The sequence below is a fragment of the Homo sapiens genome, chromosome 8 (assembly GCF_000001405.40).
Source record: "Homo sapiens chromosome 8, GRCh38.p14 Primary Assembly".
Classification (NCBI taxonomy): domain Eukaryota; kingdom Metazoa; phylum Chordata; class Mammalia; order Primates; family Hominidae; genus Homo; species Homo sapiens.
Genome location: NC_000008.11, coordinates 126,779,552 through 126,798,917, shown reverse-complemented (window position 1 = coordinate 126,798,917; position 19,366 = coordinate 126,779,552). Strand labels below are relative to the sequence as shown.

At 37.4% G+C, this 19,366-nt stretch overlaps 2 long non-coding RNA genes across 6 annotated transcripts in view; one reads left to right on the top strand and one right to left on the bottom strand.

Moving 5' to 3' along the window:
• The window catches only part of LOC105375751 (uncharacterized), a 463,156-nt gene that overhangs the window by 222,114 nt on the left and 221,676 nt on the right, over positions 1 to 19,366 (bottom strand). For 3 of the 4 annotated variants that reach the window (NR_188071.1, NR_188072.1, NR_188070.1), the window contains one exon: positions 1,014 to 5,137. The exons of the other annotated variant lie outside the window; for it this stretch is intronic. This is a non-coding gene — a long non-coding RNA (uncharacterized LOC105375751). Of the gene's footprint in view, positions 1 to 1,013; positions 5,138 to 19,366 lie in introns of those variants that run through there. 4 annotated transcript variants of the gene reach the window in all.
• Positions 1 to 19,366, top strand: part of LOC105375753 (uncharacterized) — an 80,166-nt gene that overhangs the window by 48,043 nt on the left and 12,757 nt on the right. The gene's annotated exons all lie outside the window — the stretch shown is intronic.

Sequence of the window (19,366 nt, the reverse complement as noted above, 5' to 3'; positions counted from 1 at the left end):
AAATGTTCATTAGATAAATGGCAGCAAAGTAAAATATGCTTTGAAAAAATAGAAACATTAAGTAGAGAATCCAATTAGGAGGCTGTAATGCAGTGTCAGTTACATATCCAAATCCCATCTCCCTACCCCATTCCTCTCAAATCAATCCTCAGTTTCATTCTGGCTTCCTCACTCTTCTACACAGCCAGGTACTGCAGAGGAGGTTAGCCCAAGCCTCAGGAACTGGATCCTGCTTAGCCAAAATAATTCCAGAGGTCCTTCCAAGAATTGGTTTAAGCATGGATTAAGCATGGACACGTGTTAGAGTTTTGGCCTGTGGAGACATATGGGATTTTTGCTAATAATAATAATAAAATAAAAAAAGAAACACATAGAAGAGAGGACCAGTCAGTGGGCGAGACTGACCCATGAGTTATAAAGAACCAAGAGATTGCAGAGAAGCTGAGCTGCAATCTTACCGTTGTGCCTAGAACCACTATGGATGTGTTATTTTAGAGAAAATAAATTTTCTTATCATTTTAGCCAGGAGCATCAAGGTTTCATAGCACTTAAAGCCAAAAGCTTGCTGATGAATAAAGAGACCATCAGAACTATCCAGGCAAATGGTAATTAAGGCTTGAGCTAAGATGTTGTCCTCAGGAAAAGAAAAAGTTGAACGAATTTGAGAGGCAATTTAGGCATAGAATAGGACTGTCAGACTTAGCAAATAAAAACACGGGGCACACAGTTAAATTTCAATATCAGATAAACAACAAAAACTTTTTTTAGTTTACCTCTCCCCTGCAACGTTTGAAACATACTTACACAAAAATATTATTTATTGCTTCTCTGGAATTCAAATTTAACTATTTTATCTAGCTGCCTGAGTGTAGAGCTTTCAAGACTTTTAACCACTGATCTGATGCGAGAAAACAAAGGCAAAAAGAAGTCACAGAAGTCTTTAGGGTTTTAAGCTTGAGTCATTGGGAATCCAGGGAGTCCATACTACTAAATAAGAAAAGGAAGTCAGGATATTTTGTGGAGTGGATAAAAGTTTAATTGGAAATGTATGGTGGGTGAGATGATTAACAAGTTATCTTACAATAGCAGTTCTCAATCAGGGGTGATTTTGCCTCCCAGTGGACATTGGGCAGTGTCTGGAGACGTTTTTGGTTGTCACAGCACAGGGGAGGGATTGCCACTGGTGTCTAGTGGATAAAGGCTGAGATGTTGCTAAACAGCTCACGGCCTTATGACAAAGAATTATCCCATCCAAAATGTCAACAGTGGTGAGGCTGAGAAACCCAGTATTACAGTATGGGGTGAAAAAAGATATTTTTAGGATGTTTATATTAAGTCCGCATTGGACTTTAATAATCTAAGTTTACTCTCTGTTTAGCAAGTATTTAATCAGCATCCAATATGTAGCAGGCTGTTTACCAGGAACACGAAGAGGAATAAGATATAGTATGAGCTTTCTAAAAACTCAGCCTATCAGGGGAAATGAATGCGTAAAAGTTTCTGAATAAAAGCTTGCGGCCAGGCGCGGTGGCTCACGCCTGTAATCCCAGCACTTTGGGAGGCCGAGGCGGGTAGATCACGAGGTCAGGAGATCGAGACCATCCTGGCTAACACGATGAAACCCCGTTTCTACTAAAAATACAAAAAATTAGCCGGGTGTGGTGGCAGGCACCTATAGTCCCAGCTACTCAGGAGGCTGAGGCAGGAGAATGGCGTGAACCCGGCAGACAGAGCTTTCAGTGAGCCGTGATTGGACCACTGCATTCCAGCCTGGGCGACAGAGTAAGACTCCATCTCAAAAAAAAAAAAAGCTTGCAATAAGTACACTGAAGCAAAAGTAACTTTATGTAAATTTGAGAAAATATGTCATACGTTTGCTGCACAACGTATGCACCCCAGAGCATTAGTCTGAAAAATGCCCAAAGGGTCTAGTCTAGGGAATAGCAGATCTTTCTTAACACAAGCAAAACATCATGTGGATAAAAGTAAAGGCTACAGGAACGTACCTTAACCATAGTGTAGAAAGCACTATTGACTGTTTTCTATGTTCAAGAGCAAAGAAAGAAACACCTTGTAATGGTTAATATCAGATGTCAACTTGACTGGATCAAGGGATGCCTAGATGGCTGGTGAAGTGTTATTCTGGGTGTGTCTGTGAGGGTGTTTCCAGAGGTGATTGACATGGGAGTCAGTGAACTAAGACCTGCCCTCAACGTGAACAGGCAGTATCCAGTTGGCTGGGGGCCCCTCTAAGAAAAAGCAGGCAGAAGAAGAGGGATACTCATCTCTCTCTTGCTCTCTCTCTCTCTCTCTCTCTCTCTCTCTCTGCCAGAGTGGGATGCCTTTTTCTTCTCCTGCCCTTGATATCAGACTCCAGGGTCTTTGGCTTCTTGATTCTGGGATTCGAACCCATGGTCTCCTGAGGTTCTCAGGCCTTTAGCCTCACACTAGGACTCCACTGTCAACTTCCCCAGTTCTGAGGTTTTGGACTTGCCCTGAGCCATGGTACAGGCTTTCCTGGGAGCCACACTACTGGCCTCTCTGGTTCTCCATCTTGCAGACAGCCTATCATCTCTATGACTTTACCTCTGATTGTGTGAGCCAATACCCCCAATAGATCTCCTTTCCATATATATCTATTGGTTCTGTTTCTTTGGAGAATTCTGACTCATACACACCTGTTGGTGCCTAACATCCTCCTAGATGACTTCATATTTCAGCTTATTTACTCACCATAGAAACAGTATGAAGTGACTGTTACTATTACCACAGGCATTTCACAGGTGAGAAATTTGAGGCTCTCAGAATTTATGTAATGTGTAAAATGTGTGTCTTGGGCTCCCAGCACTATCCCTTTTCAGATTGCTTCCCTTTTTCTTTATTTCATATCTTTTTAGATTTTATTGTGTGTGTCTTCTTTTTAAACTCCCCTTAGTTGAGCTGGTGCTCTTAATTGCAAAGATAATTGCTGGAGCAAACAGAATTAAAATTGTACAGAACTACACATCTACACAATGGAGTACTATTCAGCACTATAAAGAAATGAGCTATGAAGTCATCAAAAGACATGGAAGAAACTTGCAAATTACCAAGTGAAAGAAGCCAATCTGAAAAGGCTACATATTGTAGATTCCAACTTTACAATATTCTGGAAAAAGACAAAACTATGACATAGTAAAAGATCAGTGGATTTCCAGCATCAAGGAGGAGGAAGAAATGAATAGGTGGAGTAAAGAGGATTTTTAGGGCAGTGAAACTACTCTGTTTCATATTATAATGGTCCATACATGTGATTATACATTTGCCCAAATCCATATGTATTAGGCCATTATCACACTGCTATAAAGATACTACCTGATACTGGGTAATTTATAGACAAAGGAGGTTTATTTGACCCACAGTTTAACATGGCTGGGGAGGCCTCAGGAAACTTATAACTATGGTGGAAGGAGAAGGGGAAGCAAGGACCTTCTTCACATGGCGGCAGGAGAGAGAAGTGCATGCAGGGGAAATGCCAGATGCTTATCAACCATCAGATCTCATGAGAACTCACTCACTGTCATGAGATCAGCATGGAGGAAATCACCCCCATGATCCAATCACCTCCCTTCCTTGACATGTGCAGATTACAATTCAAGATGAGATTTGGGTGGGGACATAAAGCCAAACTGTATCACCATAGAATATGCAACCCTAGTTTAAGAGATATAAGGGGTTCACATTAGGGTTCACTCAGTTCACATTAGGGTTCACTCACCTAACAGTAAACCCTTGTGTGAACTATAGACTTTGGGTGATAATGATGTGTCAATGTAGGTTCATCAGTTGTAACAAATGTACCACTGTGGTCCAGAATGTTGATGGTGGAGGAAGCCATCATGTATGGTTCTTTGTACTTTCTGCCTAAATTTGCTATGAACCTAAAACTGCTCTAAAAAGTAAAGTCTATTAAAAATAAAATAAAATTAAAAGGCTACTGAGGAGTTCTGTTAAAAAAAAAAAAAAGTGAAACCGTGAGTATCCTGTGGTGGTTTTTACCTCAGGCTGTTGGTGCTCTGCATTTGCCTGTGTTTGTTGGTGATGGCTCAACCCTCTTTGTGTTCTGAAAGGAAGGGACCCCTTGAGATTCCTATCTGTTTATTCTCTCCAGAAACATAATGCTAAGGGTCAGTGTGGTGGAACATGGGCAAGCTGTGGACCTTACATTCTCCTGGTTAATTGGTGAATGGCTCCTGCCAGGTACTTTAACCAACTGAGCCTCAGCCTCCTCATCTATAAAATGGGGTTGACAGTGAAAATTGTATTTAATTATTCATTTACTGTCCAGCTCTTCTGCCAGAAAGCAAGATCCACAGAGACAGGGACAGTGTCTCTTTTATTCAGTCTCATCACTGCTTCCACAGTGCTGGAACTTAATGGACATTAAATAATATTCTATTAGACAAATGGATGAAATAATACATACAGGAAACATAATGCGTGGCCTCCAGTGTGGTTGTGAAGCCTGAAGGAGTCAGTGTATGGGACGTGTCTGGCACATTTGAGGTTGCCCCTTTCCCTGGCCCTGTGAATTTATCTTTTCACCTAAAGCAATCCTCAGCAGCCACTGGGAGAATCATCCCTGGCAACCGAGAACAACAATAGACATCTAAACAGAGAGAGACTTCAGGAGTACAACTGACCCAGAGAAATGAAAGAAAGGAGACACCTGCTCCATTTTCCCTTAACAACATTTACAGAAGTAGGTCTTTGTCTTTTCTAATTGCACTTTGGGGAAAAGCAGTATCAATTTAAATGTAACACGTTTCAACCAAGGGATTGGCTATTTCTGTTTCAGGTCTAACATAATGATTCCCAAGAAGCCTCAAACCTACTGATTCAATTATTTGAGGAAAATTTCTGAAGTTGAAATAGGCATTATGTTAGGTTTCATTATCATTTTCCTCCATCCAAAGGAAGACAGGAGTGAGAAATGGAACCAGCCCCACTTTTCTGGAAGAAAAGAGAACTGTGTGTTGTTCTGGTTCTGTCAACAACAAGCTGTGTATACTTGGGCAGGTCCTGTGTCCTCTTTGGGCTTCGAATTCCAGATTCCCAATATCTGGAAATTAGCCATTTCAGGGATTCTTCAGGCTACCTGTTCAGAAAAAAATTGGATTAATATTCAGATACAATTTTATATTTGGGAAAAAGTCACCACTTTTAAATCACAAACTGTTATCTTAATTGGTGGAAGCAGATGGCAAATACAGTGATTATAAATGAGGCTTATTCTCAGGTACTACTGCCTCGCAATACCAAAGAAAATATATCATAATTTTGAGATGAACGTGTGTGTGTGTGTGTGTGTGTGTGTGTGTGTGTGTGGTGCATGAGAGTGAGTGATTTTTATTGTTTATCACATTATGTAATAGACTGATAGTGAAGAAACACTGATTACAGGATTCTTTTATCATTTCTGGATTTCAGATGAAAGTATCCTATTTAAGTGAGTAAGATGATGATAATAATTTCAAATATTGGTGTGTCTGGTATATGCAAGGTATTGTGCAAAACACTTTATTTAAAACCAAACACCGCATATTCTCACTCATAGGTGGGAATTGAACAATGAGTTCACATGGACACAGGAAGGGGAATATCACACTCTGGGGACTGTGGTGGGGTGGGGGGAGGGGGGAGGGATAGCATTGGGAGATATACCTAATGCTAGATGAGTTAGTGGGTGCAGCGCACCAGCATGGCACATGTATACATATGTAACTAACCTGCACAATGTGCACAGGTACCCTAAATCTTAAAGTATAATAAAAAAATAAAAATAAAAAAAAAAACTTCATGCCTGCCTCTCAATGGCCACCAAATAAATTGACAGAGAACATCTCAATTACATTCTGCATCGTTTCTCTCCCGGGATTTTCGAGGCTGTGAATGTTATTACTTACTAAACTTACAAGTCAATTTCCACGTAATAAGATATTGCTTTTCACCATAAAGACTCAACTTAATGGATCAATAATGGAATAACTTCAGTTTAAAGTTATCATCAGGGAACTGAAAATTATAATTCAATGTCCTCTGTACATAGTTTCTTATATAAAGGGAGGAAATTAGCGTTTATTGACTTCCTGGAATGTGCCATTTTCTTCTGATTCAATATTTTGAATAGCTCATGTTACTGACACATAGTAGGCACTCAAGCAATACTTACTGAATTAATGAAGAATTAATCAGTTAATTTTAGTCACCACTTTATAGATGAGGAAACTCTGGTCAAAGATTAAATAAGTGCCCCAAGGTAATGGAGGCAGGATGCAGTGGAGCTGGGATTCAGGTGTGCCTAATGCCGACCCCCAGCTCCTCCCTTTCCCCATTCTACCTCTTGTTTTCTAGAATCTGTCCTTGACTTCTCAACAGCATAGTGCATAGTACATGGTCCCCATGTGGCTTCTCTTTTCTTTTTTTTTTTTTTTTTTTTTTTTTAGCTAAAATCACCTTCAAAATTTGAGTTGCCTGTAAACCAAAACAATGCTATAATTTGCAAAAAGAGATATGCAGAGATGACAGGACAGTGAGAGAAGTGAGAAGAAAAACAAGTGAAATGTAGATTACTATTGATCACTTCAGCTGGAGCTCTATATCTTACTTCCTTTTTGTTTCCCCACCCACCCCATTTTTTAATCTTGGTGATATTCTTGTGTAAAATTAATCCTTTATGGGCAGTGTGTAACTTCAAGTATTGAGGATGGTGTTGGTCAGAAACCAATAAAAACAAAATTAATCTATTGAATGCCAGGGACAAGAGGTTGAATCCATTAAGTAATGTGATACCTTTCATGAAAAGGCCGACATTTCATTGGCAATCTGGCAGTAACATTCCCAGAAGACCTCATGAAAATCAAACATCATCCATCTCTGGATATAGAACATTTTAAAGGCTTTAATTATTATTCAAAACTCAGTAATAAAATTATATTACTGGCTTTGAAGAAGGAAAATGGAAGCTTATAGGGGTGATGCAGTTATTTAGGAGATAGAGAATAAATCCCATCCTTTCTCATTTTTCAACATTTGTCATTCTGTTTTTGTCATAAAAGAAAGTATGAAATAAGTCACAGAACTACTTTTAATTATTTTATTTTGAAATTTAGTAATTTTCTGATGGTGAATGCAAGTATAAAATAATGTTTAGAAAACACAGATTGTTATAAATAAGAGAATAAAACCAACCATAGTGCAATCATTCAGAGATAACCATTGTTAGAATGTTTTATACTCAATAGAAATTTGAGCAGTAAATATTGACTAAGCAATTAAGAAGAGAAAATTCCAGTAAGTGTTAAAAAATAATAAACTATCCTTAACTCCACTGGTTATTGGGGAAATGCAAACTAAAAGAAAACAAAACAAAAACCAATTTAAAAAATGAGAGACATGGTTAAAGAAAGTGTTAGAAAACTGGAACATAAAGTCAAGGAAATTACAGAAAATGCAACACAGAGTGAAGAAAATATAAAATAAGTGAAACATCTGCTGTCCAGAAAATATAAAAAAGAGCCTCTCTTTCTCTCCCTTATGCTTTCCTTTTTCTCTCTCTCCTGCTTTCCTTTTCTTTAACTTACCTTTTCTGAATAATGTAGCTGAAAAGCCATCAGTTGGGACAAACCAAGGTAGACAGTAGATTGAGGGAGTGAGAAATAGTTGCACAGAATGTTAGAACTAAGCAGGGTGAGAAGGCATTCATGCAGGGGGAAAGGGAACTCGATATTGGTAAGGAAAACCCAAGCAGAGTGAGGAAGATATGCCCATTAAGGGGCAGTCCAGCATGTGGTGTCAGAGACTGAGCAGGATTCAGCCATCTTTGCATGAAGGTGACTCAATGTTGGAACTTGAGCGTAGAGGAAATCTACGCTTACAGGTAGGTGGAGGTGGGGATGGGAGATTGTTTACATACCCAGAGATTGATGAAATAAGTTTATTAAAAACAATAAGAAACAGAATTCTTACTGTTGGAAAGAGTAGTTATAAATACAAAACAGGAGAAAATTGGAATAGACTATGGGCTATGGAATTGGAATTAAAACATCAATGTTGTGTTATTTTTCTATTGCTGCCTTAACAAATTATCACACACTTTATGATTTACAATACAAATTTATTATTTTACAGTTCTGAAAGTTAGAAATCTAACATAGGTCTTACTGGGCTAAAATCAAGGTGTTGGCAGGGGTGCATTTCTTTATGAAACGCAAGATGTCATTTTTTTCCCATGCCTTTTTCAGCTTCTAGAGGCTGCCTGGGTGCCTTAGATTGTGCCCTCTTCCTCCATCTTCAAAGCCAGCAATGACAGGTGAGGCATGCTCACATTGCATCACTACCTTCCTTTTTCACTTTTAAGGTCCCTTGTGATTCCATTGGATGTACCTGTATAATTCTGGAAAAAAACTTCTTTTTTTTTTGTTTTTTGTTTTTTTTTGAGATAGAGTCTTGCTCTGTCGCCCAGGCTGGAGTGCAGTGGTGCAATCTCGGCTCACTGCAAGCTCCACCTCCTGGGTTCACACCATTCTCCTGCCTCAGCCTCCTCAGTAGCTGGGATTACAGATGCCTGCCACCACGCCCAGCTAATTTTTTTGTATTTTTTAGTAGAGATGGGGTTTCACCGTGTTAGCCAGGATGGTCTCGATCTCCTGACCTCATGATCCACCTGCCTCGGCCTCCCAAAGTGCTGGGATTACAGGCATGAGCCACCGCGCCCAGCAAAACTTCCTATTATTAAGAGCAGCTGATTAGCAAGCTTAATTCCAGCTACTACCTGAAGTCTCTTTTGCCACATAAGGTAACTAACATGTTTACAGGTTTTAGGAATTAGAATATGGGCATCTTTGGAGAGCCATTATTCTGCCTACAGAATATTTACAATTTTTAGTATGTATAGATAGAAAAGTAAATATAGATTTAAATGTGTATATGTATTTATACATATATGTGAGCCTGTGGATACACACATATTATTCCCTTGTTCTGTCTACTGGGAAATCCTGGGTCTAATGACACTCCAGTAGTAATGAGCACACGTGAAAGGGCCCAGAGCAGGACTTCTAAATAACATTCTCCACTGTAGAGAATGAGAACACATGGACACAGGGAGGGGAACAGCACACACTGGGACCTGGCAGGGCAGGGGCAGGGGAGGGAGAGCATTAGGAAAAATAGCTAACGCATGCTGGGCTTAATACCTAGGTGATGGGTTGATAGTCGCAGCAAATCACCATGGTACACGTATCCCTACATAACATACCTGCACATCCTGCACATGTACCCCAGAACTTAAAAATAAAAATTAAAAAAAAAAATGAGGGTTCATTGGAGAAATAGCTGATTTAGAGCTGCAGCATGAAAAAATACGATGGGCCTGAAACATCTTTTGATGCCAGAAAGCAAGGAAAGACAGAAAGAAGGATGGGATGTACCAAAAAGACACAGAAGCCAACTTGAAGGGATGCCCACTGGCTAAATTAAAGACAACTGGAGCATTAAAATAAATACTGGTAGTAGCGCATTGTCATACATTGAATAAAATAGGAAGCTATGAATCCACATAGATATTAATAAGCAAGTGAAAATATGGAAAGTTTGGTGAGGAATGCGATAATTATGTAGTTCTAAATTACTCCCCACAAAATACATATTAATTATAAAGGAAACTTTATTCTGGAGAGGAAGATAATACCATGTTAATGAAATAAGCAAAATGCAAATCAAGAGTAAAATAACAAATAGAAATTGGGCATTACTTAACAGAAGTCAAGAAAAGAAGGAACAGGGCATTACTCCTGTGATATTCCTGCCAAAGATGCAGAATAAGAATCCAATCGTAAATTTTTTATACTTAGCTACAGAGATAAAAACTCAGATTTGAAAAGCTTACAAATGATAAAGGAAGAGAAATAGAAATTTGACTATGAGCGTATTTTCAATAAAAACAATAGAAATCAGAAGAGAAGACCATATCTTAAAATTGTTTACCCATGTAAACTCTATTTGAAGGATGAGGATAAAATAAAGACATTGAGAAAAACATAAACTGAGTTGCCACCAAAAAATCTTTACTAAGAATAAATGACAAAGAAATCAAAATATGAAGAAACCTGAATGAAGTGAGTCTGAAATTGAAAATCTTCTACATAAAAAACTCTAGGACTAAATGGCTTCACTGATCAATTCTGTCAAACATTCAGAGGATAACACCAATCTCAGACAAACTCTTTCAGACAATGAAGAAGGAAACATTTCCCAGCTCATTTTGTGAGACCCATATTATTCTGATTTCAAAATCAAAGGCCATTAAAAGAGAACTGTAGACCGATATTCTTCAAGAACATAATATAAAAATCCTTTTAAAAAGGTAATAAATCAAATCCAACCACATAGAAAAAGAGATACTATGATCAAGAGTTTTTTGACAAGAAATTCAAAATTCATTAAAAATCTGAAAACAAATCAATGTACTTCATCATAATAATAGAATAAAGGGAAACAACCACATCATTATATCAATGGTGTGGAAAAAGCATTTAAAAATATTCAACACCATTTTATGACAGAAACACTCAGCAAACTAAAAATAGAAGGCAACTTACTCAATTTAAGAACATCTGTTTAAAACCTAGAACTATCATAATATTTAACATCATACTTTAAGCCCAATGTTTGATCACAAACAAGGCAAGACAATCCACTCTCACCACTTCTATTTAAAATTATATTGGAAGTCCAATGCCACCACCAACACAAAGAAATAAAACCCACATGGATTGGAAGAATAGAAGCAAAACAGTCCTCATTTTCCAGCTATATAACCATGTATGCAAAAAAGCCTTAAAAATCTACATATACTAGAATAATAAATGATTTTAGCAAGATTGCAGAATTCAATACCAATATACAAAAACAATTACATCTCTATATTCAACTAATGTGTGATTAGAAAATAAATATTTTAAACTTCATTTATAATAGTATTAAAAATCCTTAGTGGAAAATTTAATAATAATGCCTAATACTTATACAACAAAAGCTTCAAAACATTGCAAATAAAAAGTAATAAGCACCTAAACAAATGCAGAGATAACTACTGGAATAGTCAACACTGCCTAGATGGCAGTCCTTTACATATTGATTTAGAGATTCAAGGTAATTCCAATCAAAATTCTAACAAGATTTTTTTTTTCATTGGTAAGCTTATTTAAAAATTTACGTGAAAAGGAAGAGATCTAAACTAGCTGTCTTAGTCTGTTTGGGCTGCCACAACAAAATGCTGTCAACCTGGCAGCTTGTAAACAACAAATTTATTTCTCACATTTCTGGAGATAATCAGCAAATTCAGTGTCTGGTGAGGGCTGCCTTCTGGTTCATAGAAATGGCGCCTTCTCTCTGTGTCCTCCCATGGTGGATGGGATGATCAGCTCTGTGGGGTCTCTTTTATAAGGATGTCAATTCCATTCATGAGGGTTCCCCTGCAAAATGAGATCACCTCCCCAAGGCTCCACCTCTCAATACTATCATATTAGTGATTAGGCTTTCAACATAGGAATTTTAGGAGGATACAAACATTCAGACCACAGCACTTACCAAAATAATTTTGGAAAAAAAATTAAAACTCATACAACCTGATTTCAAGGCAATATAAAGCTACATTAGTCAGGACAGAGAGATACTGAAGTAAAGATAGATCCATAAATCAATGGAAAGTTCAGAAATAGACCTGCACTTAAATGGAAAATTGATTTTCCACGTTAAGTGCCAAGTTATTTAAAGAGTGGAAAGTGTGCATTTCCAAAAACAGTGATGAAACTGCTGTGTATATGTACAAAAATAAAAAGAAAAATCATACAATTCCTTCACACCATACACATAAATTTGAAATGAATCAGGGACCTAAACGTATAAGCTAAAGCTATTAACACTTAGAGAGGAAAACATGGAAGAAATCATTTTAACACTAGCTTAAGAAAATATTTCTTGGACGAACCAAAAAGAGTGTATAGACATTGCTGGTATGAAAAAAGGTGGCACAGCCATTTTGTAAACAGTACAGCAGTATGTTAAAAGGTCAGCCCTGCACTTACCATACATCCTAGGTATTTACCTAAGAGAAATGGAAATGTATGCACACACAAACTCTTTTATGTGAATATTCATAGCAGCATTATTCATAATAGATGCAGACTGAATATAGCAAATTCAAATGGTGCCAACTAATCAAATGGTAAAGATAAACAAATTTGACATATCATATTATGAAATACCACTTAGCAATAAAAAGAAATGAAATCCATGATCAATCTCAAAACAGTGCTAAGTGAAAAAAGTCAAATCTAAGACTACATACTCTATCTTCCATTAGAATTAAATCTTTAAAAAGGCAAAACTAAAGGGATGAAAATCAGATCAGCGTTTGCCACAGGGCTGGGAGTGAAGTCTCACAATGAAACTTCTTTAAGGTGAGAGAATTGTTCTGTATCATGGTTATGGTGGAGGTTACAGTGCTGTATATAATTCCCCAAATTGACAAAACTGTTCACTTAAGATGGATGGACTTTATGTAGACAATACCTTAATAAAATAAACTTTTAAAATGTGTTAAATTGCATTCTTGTATCACAATATACACAAAATTCTATTTTAGATGTTTGTAGACTTAAATATGAAAGATAAACTTTGACAGTAAGTTACAAGAATATGTTCTTTTCTGATCCAGGAAATGAAGCATTATTTTTGGAACACAAAAAGCACTAGCCGTAAATGCAAAGATTAGTACATTCAATTTTGTCAAAATTAAAAATGTGTAGTCATTGAAAACGAAGTGAACGCCTTGCCCTGGTTTGCCTGGGGCTTTTCACGTTTTAGCAGTTTATAGTCCTGTGTCCCAAGAAACCCCTCAGTCTCAAACAAACTGGAACAGTGAGTAACTCTATCAAAATTTATTAAACAAAGTGAAGACAACCCCCAACTGTTAACCAGTATCTTCCACAGGTGTAAAAGACAAATAATTCTCTAGAATATTAGTAGGTAAAAGATGGCAAATATCTTATTGATAAATTCACAGAAGCCTTAAATAGACAATTGCAAGAAGAGGGCACATGAAAGGCTAAGAAACATAAAAGGATGTTCTTTCCAGTCTCACCCTGTTAAAAATCTGGGAAATGAAAATTTAAAATGAGATACTGTAGTGATAGACCATTAGAAACCAACACATTTTTCAGAAATGTTTAAAACCTGATGGCACCAAGTATAGGAAAGAATTTGGGGAAATAAAAACTTGTATAAAACTCTAATATAGGCCAGGCACGGTGGCTCATACCTGTAATCCCAGCACTTTGGGAGGCCGAGGTGGGCGGATCACGAGGTCAGGAGTTTGAGACCAGCCTGGCCAATATGGTGAAACCCTGTCTCTACTAAAAATACAAAAAAATTAGCTGGGTGTGGTGGCGTGAGCCTGTAGTCCCAGCTACTCGGGAGGCTGAGGCAGAAGAATCGCTTGAACCCAGGAGGTAGAGGTTGCAGTGAGCCGAGATCGTGCCACTGCACTCCAGCCTGGGAGACAGAGCAAGACTCCATCTCAAAAAAACAAAAGAAGACAAAATAAAAGCCTCTAATATATAAATGGATCAAAAAATTCAATAGAAAAGAATTTGCTAAATAAAATTATGAAGTTGAAATTGTGTATATCCTATGAACTAGTAACCTTACTCCTAATTATGGAGCTGTATAGACATGGAGCATGTATATCAATTGATATTCTGAGGAATCTTTATGGTAGTCTTGATGCTAGTAGAAATAAAGAGAAGGAAGAATAGAAGCAGCATAAATGTCCATTGAAAGGAGATGGATAAATTAATTAAATATATCCACACAGTGAAATACTGTTCAGCTGTGAAAATGAGAATCATAGCTATGATTTTCAACATGGATTTTAAAAACAATGTGGAAAAAAATCAAGTTGTGAAAGAACACCTATAACGGGATACAGTTTTTTCAAGTTCAAAACCAAGAAAAACAAAGAATTATTAATTTATGGATATATGTATGTGGCAATATTATTAAGAAAATACAAGCTTTTAATTTTTCTACATTACACTACTAAAATAAAAATGATAATAGCATCACGTGCTAGCAAAGATGTAGAGAAATGGGCATATTTACCAAGAGAGAATGTGACTGTCACAATATTGAAAAGTAATGATTTTCATGACGATATCTACTAAAATAAAAAGTAATGATTTTAGTGACATTATCTACTGAAGTCAAAATAAATATACGTCCTTGAACTCAGGAATTTTATGTATTGGAATTGATCCCATAAAAATAAAATTGCTTCTAAGTAAATGTGGTTGTGCAAAGATGCATTATTAATTGTGTTAAAAACAAAATAGAAGCAAATGAAATATCCATCAGTAGAAAAATAAGTAAATCAATGGTGGCATATTACTCTGCAAAATTATCCAGCTAATCAAAAGGCTGAGTTAGACTTTGAGGCATAGTTATTTAATTTTGTTAGATGAGAATAAAAACTTGCAAAACGTGTAAATATAATCTTGCTTTTGTAAATAATTTATTTGTAAAATAAATAACTCAAGTCCTAAGCATTTGTGCATCAGTACATTTATACTTGTTTTGTGGGGAAAGAAATGAATTAATGCACATCAACTTGCTAATATTTCTTACCTTAGGAATGGAAATAAAATGGAAAGGGAAGAGAAGATTAATTTTTAAATACAACTTTGCATTGTTCTACTGCTTCAAAAGAGGATATGTTACTTTGTTAATATAAAAAACTTTAAACAAAAATATTTTTTCAAATAGTTTATGTCCACTAGGGAAATTTTGGAATGTTTAGTTTCCAAAATGTGTTCCAGAGAATTGTATTTGAGGATACATTTAAACAATTATCTTAGCTGAATGATGCTACATTACTTAATAATTTTACTTGTGATATGAATTTTTAAGAGGAGGATTTCCAATTTCATCCATGTCCCTACAAAGGACATGAACTCATCATTTTTTATGGCTGCATAGTATTCCATGGTGTATATGTGCCACATTTTCTTAATCCAGTCTATCATTGTTGGACATTTGGGTTGGTTCCAAGTCTTTGCTATTGTGAATAATGCCGCAATAAACATACGTGTGCATGTGTCTTTATAGCAGCATGATTTATAGTCATTTGGGTATATACCCAGTAATGGGATGGCTGGGTCAAATGGTATCGCAAGAACAAAAAACCAAACACCGCATATTCTCACTCATAGGTGGGAATTGAACAATGAGATCACATGGACACATGAAGGGGAATATCACACTCTGGGGACTGTGGTGGGGTGGGGGGAGGGGGGAGGGATAGCATTGGGAGATATACCTAAGGCTAGATGACGAGTTAGTGGGTGCAGCGCACCAGCATGGCACATGTATACATATGTAACTAACCTGCACAATGTGCACATGTACCCTAAAACTTAAAGTATAATAAAAAAAAAAAAGAGGAGGATTTCACTTGTAGAATTTCTTAAAACATTTGATCACTTGGAATAGCTCAAGAACTATAGCACCATAAAACCAATTCTCTGAAACAGTGTCCTAATCCTACGTCCCAGACATAACTGCTGTCAACCTGAAGTACAGTTCTTTCTAATCTTTTGCTAGCATTTTTACTTTGTGTAGATCACATGGTACAAATAATTTTACTTCCTTTTTCTTCTCAATGTTATGTCATGAACATTGTTCTGATCAGTGTACATATTTTTGTGGACATCAGTGATAGTTTAGTTGCAATTCCGGTATAAATGTTAATGAAAAATGTAACCAACACAATACTAAATTCTAATGCAAGATAGTAAAGAATATGATTAAGCTGCAAATAGTGTGCTTGTGTAGTTTACGCTAAAGGTTTTAAAGAGGCTGACCAAAAATGATGGGTGTCTGGAGATAAGAGGAAAGACCATGCAGAGAAGGGATGTGAGCAAAGGCTGGAAAGACTGGAACACAAGATCAAGGCAGCCTAGCCGGGATGAGAGCAAGTACATATAACCTGAATAATAAATAAGCATGCTCCAGGTAGGAGGTATAGATTCCAGTAAAGAGTAACCTGACTTGTTAATACAGGAGTTCACAAAGGCTTAAGGGTAAGATCCAATTATTATTATTATTATTATTTTTTTTTTTTTTTTTTTTTTTTTGAGACAGAGTCTCGCTCTGTCGCCCAGGCTGGAGTGAAGTGGCCCGATCTTGGCTCACTGCAAGCTCCGCCTCCCGGGTTCACGCCATTCTCCTGCCTCAGCCTCCTGAGTAGCTGGGACTACAGGCGCCTGCCACCGCTCCCGGCTAATTTTTTGTATTTTTAGTACAGACGGGGTTTCACCATGGTCTCGATCTCCTGACCCCGTGATCCACCCGCCTCGGCCTCCCAAAGTGCTGGGATTACAGGCGTGAGCCTCTGCGCCCGGCCAGATCCAATTCTTAAGCATTCTATAGAAATAAGTGATGCTAGTCATTGTGTTGCAGAGATATGTGGTAATTGAGACCCACAATAAAAAGATTTATGTTTTCTGCATACACTGAGCTATCTTCACTGCTCCACAATTCTCCTGTTCGTGGATATGCCCATCCCTTGAAAAGTGGAAGCCACTGTGAGGATTTAATTGAAAAATGCATAAGCCATTAGGGAATAATAATAAGTACTGACATTTTTAGAGTAATTTACAAATCCCTCATACATGCGTTATCTAGTTTTCTCTGTTCAATCAACTTGTGAGAGTTAAGTATTGCTTTCTTAACTTAATAAATAAGAAAATTAAGACTCAAAGAGCTTGAGTGGTTTGTCCAAAGTCACAACATTAATTAGTGAATGAGCTGGGATTCGCACCCAGATGTTCTATCTTTTGCTCTTTCTGCTCGACTGTTTTCATTCTTTGGCATTGTTACCCTGATGATAAAGACAAAGGATATTGGTATGTTTATGTTGTTATGTGTCTAGTCATGATATTTTTAAATTTGAATTTATTTTATAGTCATCTCTTCATGTAATTTTTTTTTCCAGTAAGGATCCATGGGTAGCCTGTCTCTAAGCTGTTGGAGAGCTGTGAATATATTTCTGTTGTCACATGCATGAGAAATAGCTGGGACATGTGTAAAGATTTTGGGTCACAACCTTCTTCTCTTCAAACTCATGAGCTGTCACTCCTCTTCATTCTGGCTTTTGATAGTGAAGAAGTCTGAGTCAGACTGATTTGTGCTTTTTGTTAGCAACCTGTTTTGTTTGTTTCTCTCCTTTTTTCTTAGCTGAGAGTGCTTGTCAAAATTTCCTTTATCCTGGTACATCAATACTGCTGGCACCTGTCTTTTTTTCACTGATTTCATCAAAGAAGCAAGAGCACTTTTGTCATTACCTTCTAATCTAATTTCCTATGAGGGTCTTTTAAAATTATGTCTCTTTTGTCCATGTTGCAGTTGCTTTGTTTTTTTTTTTCCTTCGTGAACTTTTGCACCTTTAGAGCAGACCTCCCCTCCTTGTCCTTCATATTCATTTCTGTTGTGGTTTTCTCACTTGTTTTTTCTTTAGCATTCCAGAATAACTTCTCAGTTAATTCCCTATTTATTTAATAAATATTGAGTGTTACCCTATGCCATTGATTGTTCTAAGTGTTGGGGATACAACAGAGAACAAGAGAGACAAACAAACAAAAATATCTGTCTTTGTGGAGCCTACAAAAGAAAATAGAGCTATGGAGAATATTTTAGAAAGTGCCAAATACTTTGGAGATAAATAAAGTGAAAGTGAGGGTCAGAAGAGGGAAACTGAACTTTTAAATGGGGTGAGAAAAGAAGATCTTACTAAGAAGGAAATATTTGAGTAAAAACATCAGGTAGCTGAGAGAGTGAGCCAACCGGATACCTCAAAGAGTCTCCCAGACAGAATAAACAGCAAGTGCAGTTGTCCTGAGACAGGAGAATACTTGTGTGTTCCAGGAAGACCCTGGCCAGAGAGAGAGTAGTAGGAAATGAGGCCAGCAAGGAATCAAAAGCCAGATAAAGAAAGGCCACATTAGTAAGAGTGAAACTTTTGGCTTTTGTACTGAATAAGAGTGAAAGGCAGTGAAGAGTTTTGAGTAGAGGAATACCATAAGCAAATTTGATTTTTAATAGAATTACTCTGCCTGCTGTGCACAGGGCCAAGGGCAGAAAGAGACACATCAGTGAGAAGGTTGTTACATCATCATCCTCATGAGAGATGATGATGACTTCAATCAGAATGGTAGAGCCATGGGGCTGGATATTTAATGTTGTTCACAATGAGATTTCTGATGAATTGGATGTGGAAACATAGATGTTTGTAGGGGGAAACTGGAAGAACAGGGTTACATTTTAACATGGTAAAAACTCTGGGAGAAGTAGGGAAAGGAGACCAGAAATACGGTTTAAAGCATAATATTTATGTAATTTTTTTGGTCTGGCTTCTTTTGCTCAAGTGTTTATTTGTAACATTCATACTTGTTAACAAATGTAGCCATAGTTTGTTTATTTTGGAAAACTTTTCCCGTAAAGAAGACAGTAAACATTTTTGGATTTGCAGACCTGAGGGCCATTAGCCATAGGCAATATGTAAAATAAGCATGGCTGTATTTCAATAAAATGTGTATACAAAAATAGTAGGCCAGATCTGACCCACAGGCTGTAATTTCCTGATCCCTGATCTACACTGTTCTCTTGTGCAACTAGGTCATGGTTTGTTATCATATCTTTTTTTGTTTGTTTGTTTGCTTGTTTGCTTGTTTTTAGAGACAGGGTCTCAGGTCTTGCTCTGTCACCTAGGTTGGAATGCAGTGGTGCAATCATAGCTCACTGTAACCTCCAACTCCTGGGCTCAAGTCATCCTCCGGCCTCAGCCTTCTTAGTAACTAGGACTACAGGTGAGCACCACCACACCTGGCTTTTTCTCTTCTCCTCTCCTCTCTTCTCCTCTCTTCTCCTCTCCTCTCCTCTCCTCTCCTCTCCTCTCCTCTCCTCTCTTTTCCTCCCCTCTCCTCTGCTCTTCTTTCCTTTCCTTAGAGATAGGGTCTCTCTATGCTGCCAAAGCTGGTCTCAAACTTCTGGCCTCAAGCAATCCTCCTACCTCAGCCTCCCAAAGCTCTGGGATTACAGGCATGAGCCATGGTGACCACATCATGTCATTGTTGATGGGCATTTGGGTTGTTTCAGTTTAGGGTATTACAAATATTGCTTCTAAGAACCTTCTTGAATGTGTCTCCTGTTGTGCACGTGCTCACATTTCTATTAGGTATTTGTAAAGAAATGGAATTGCTGGGTCGTA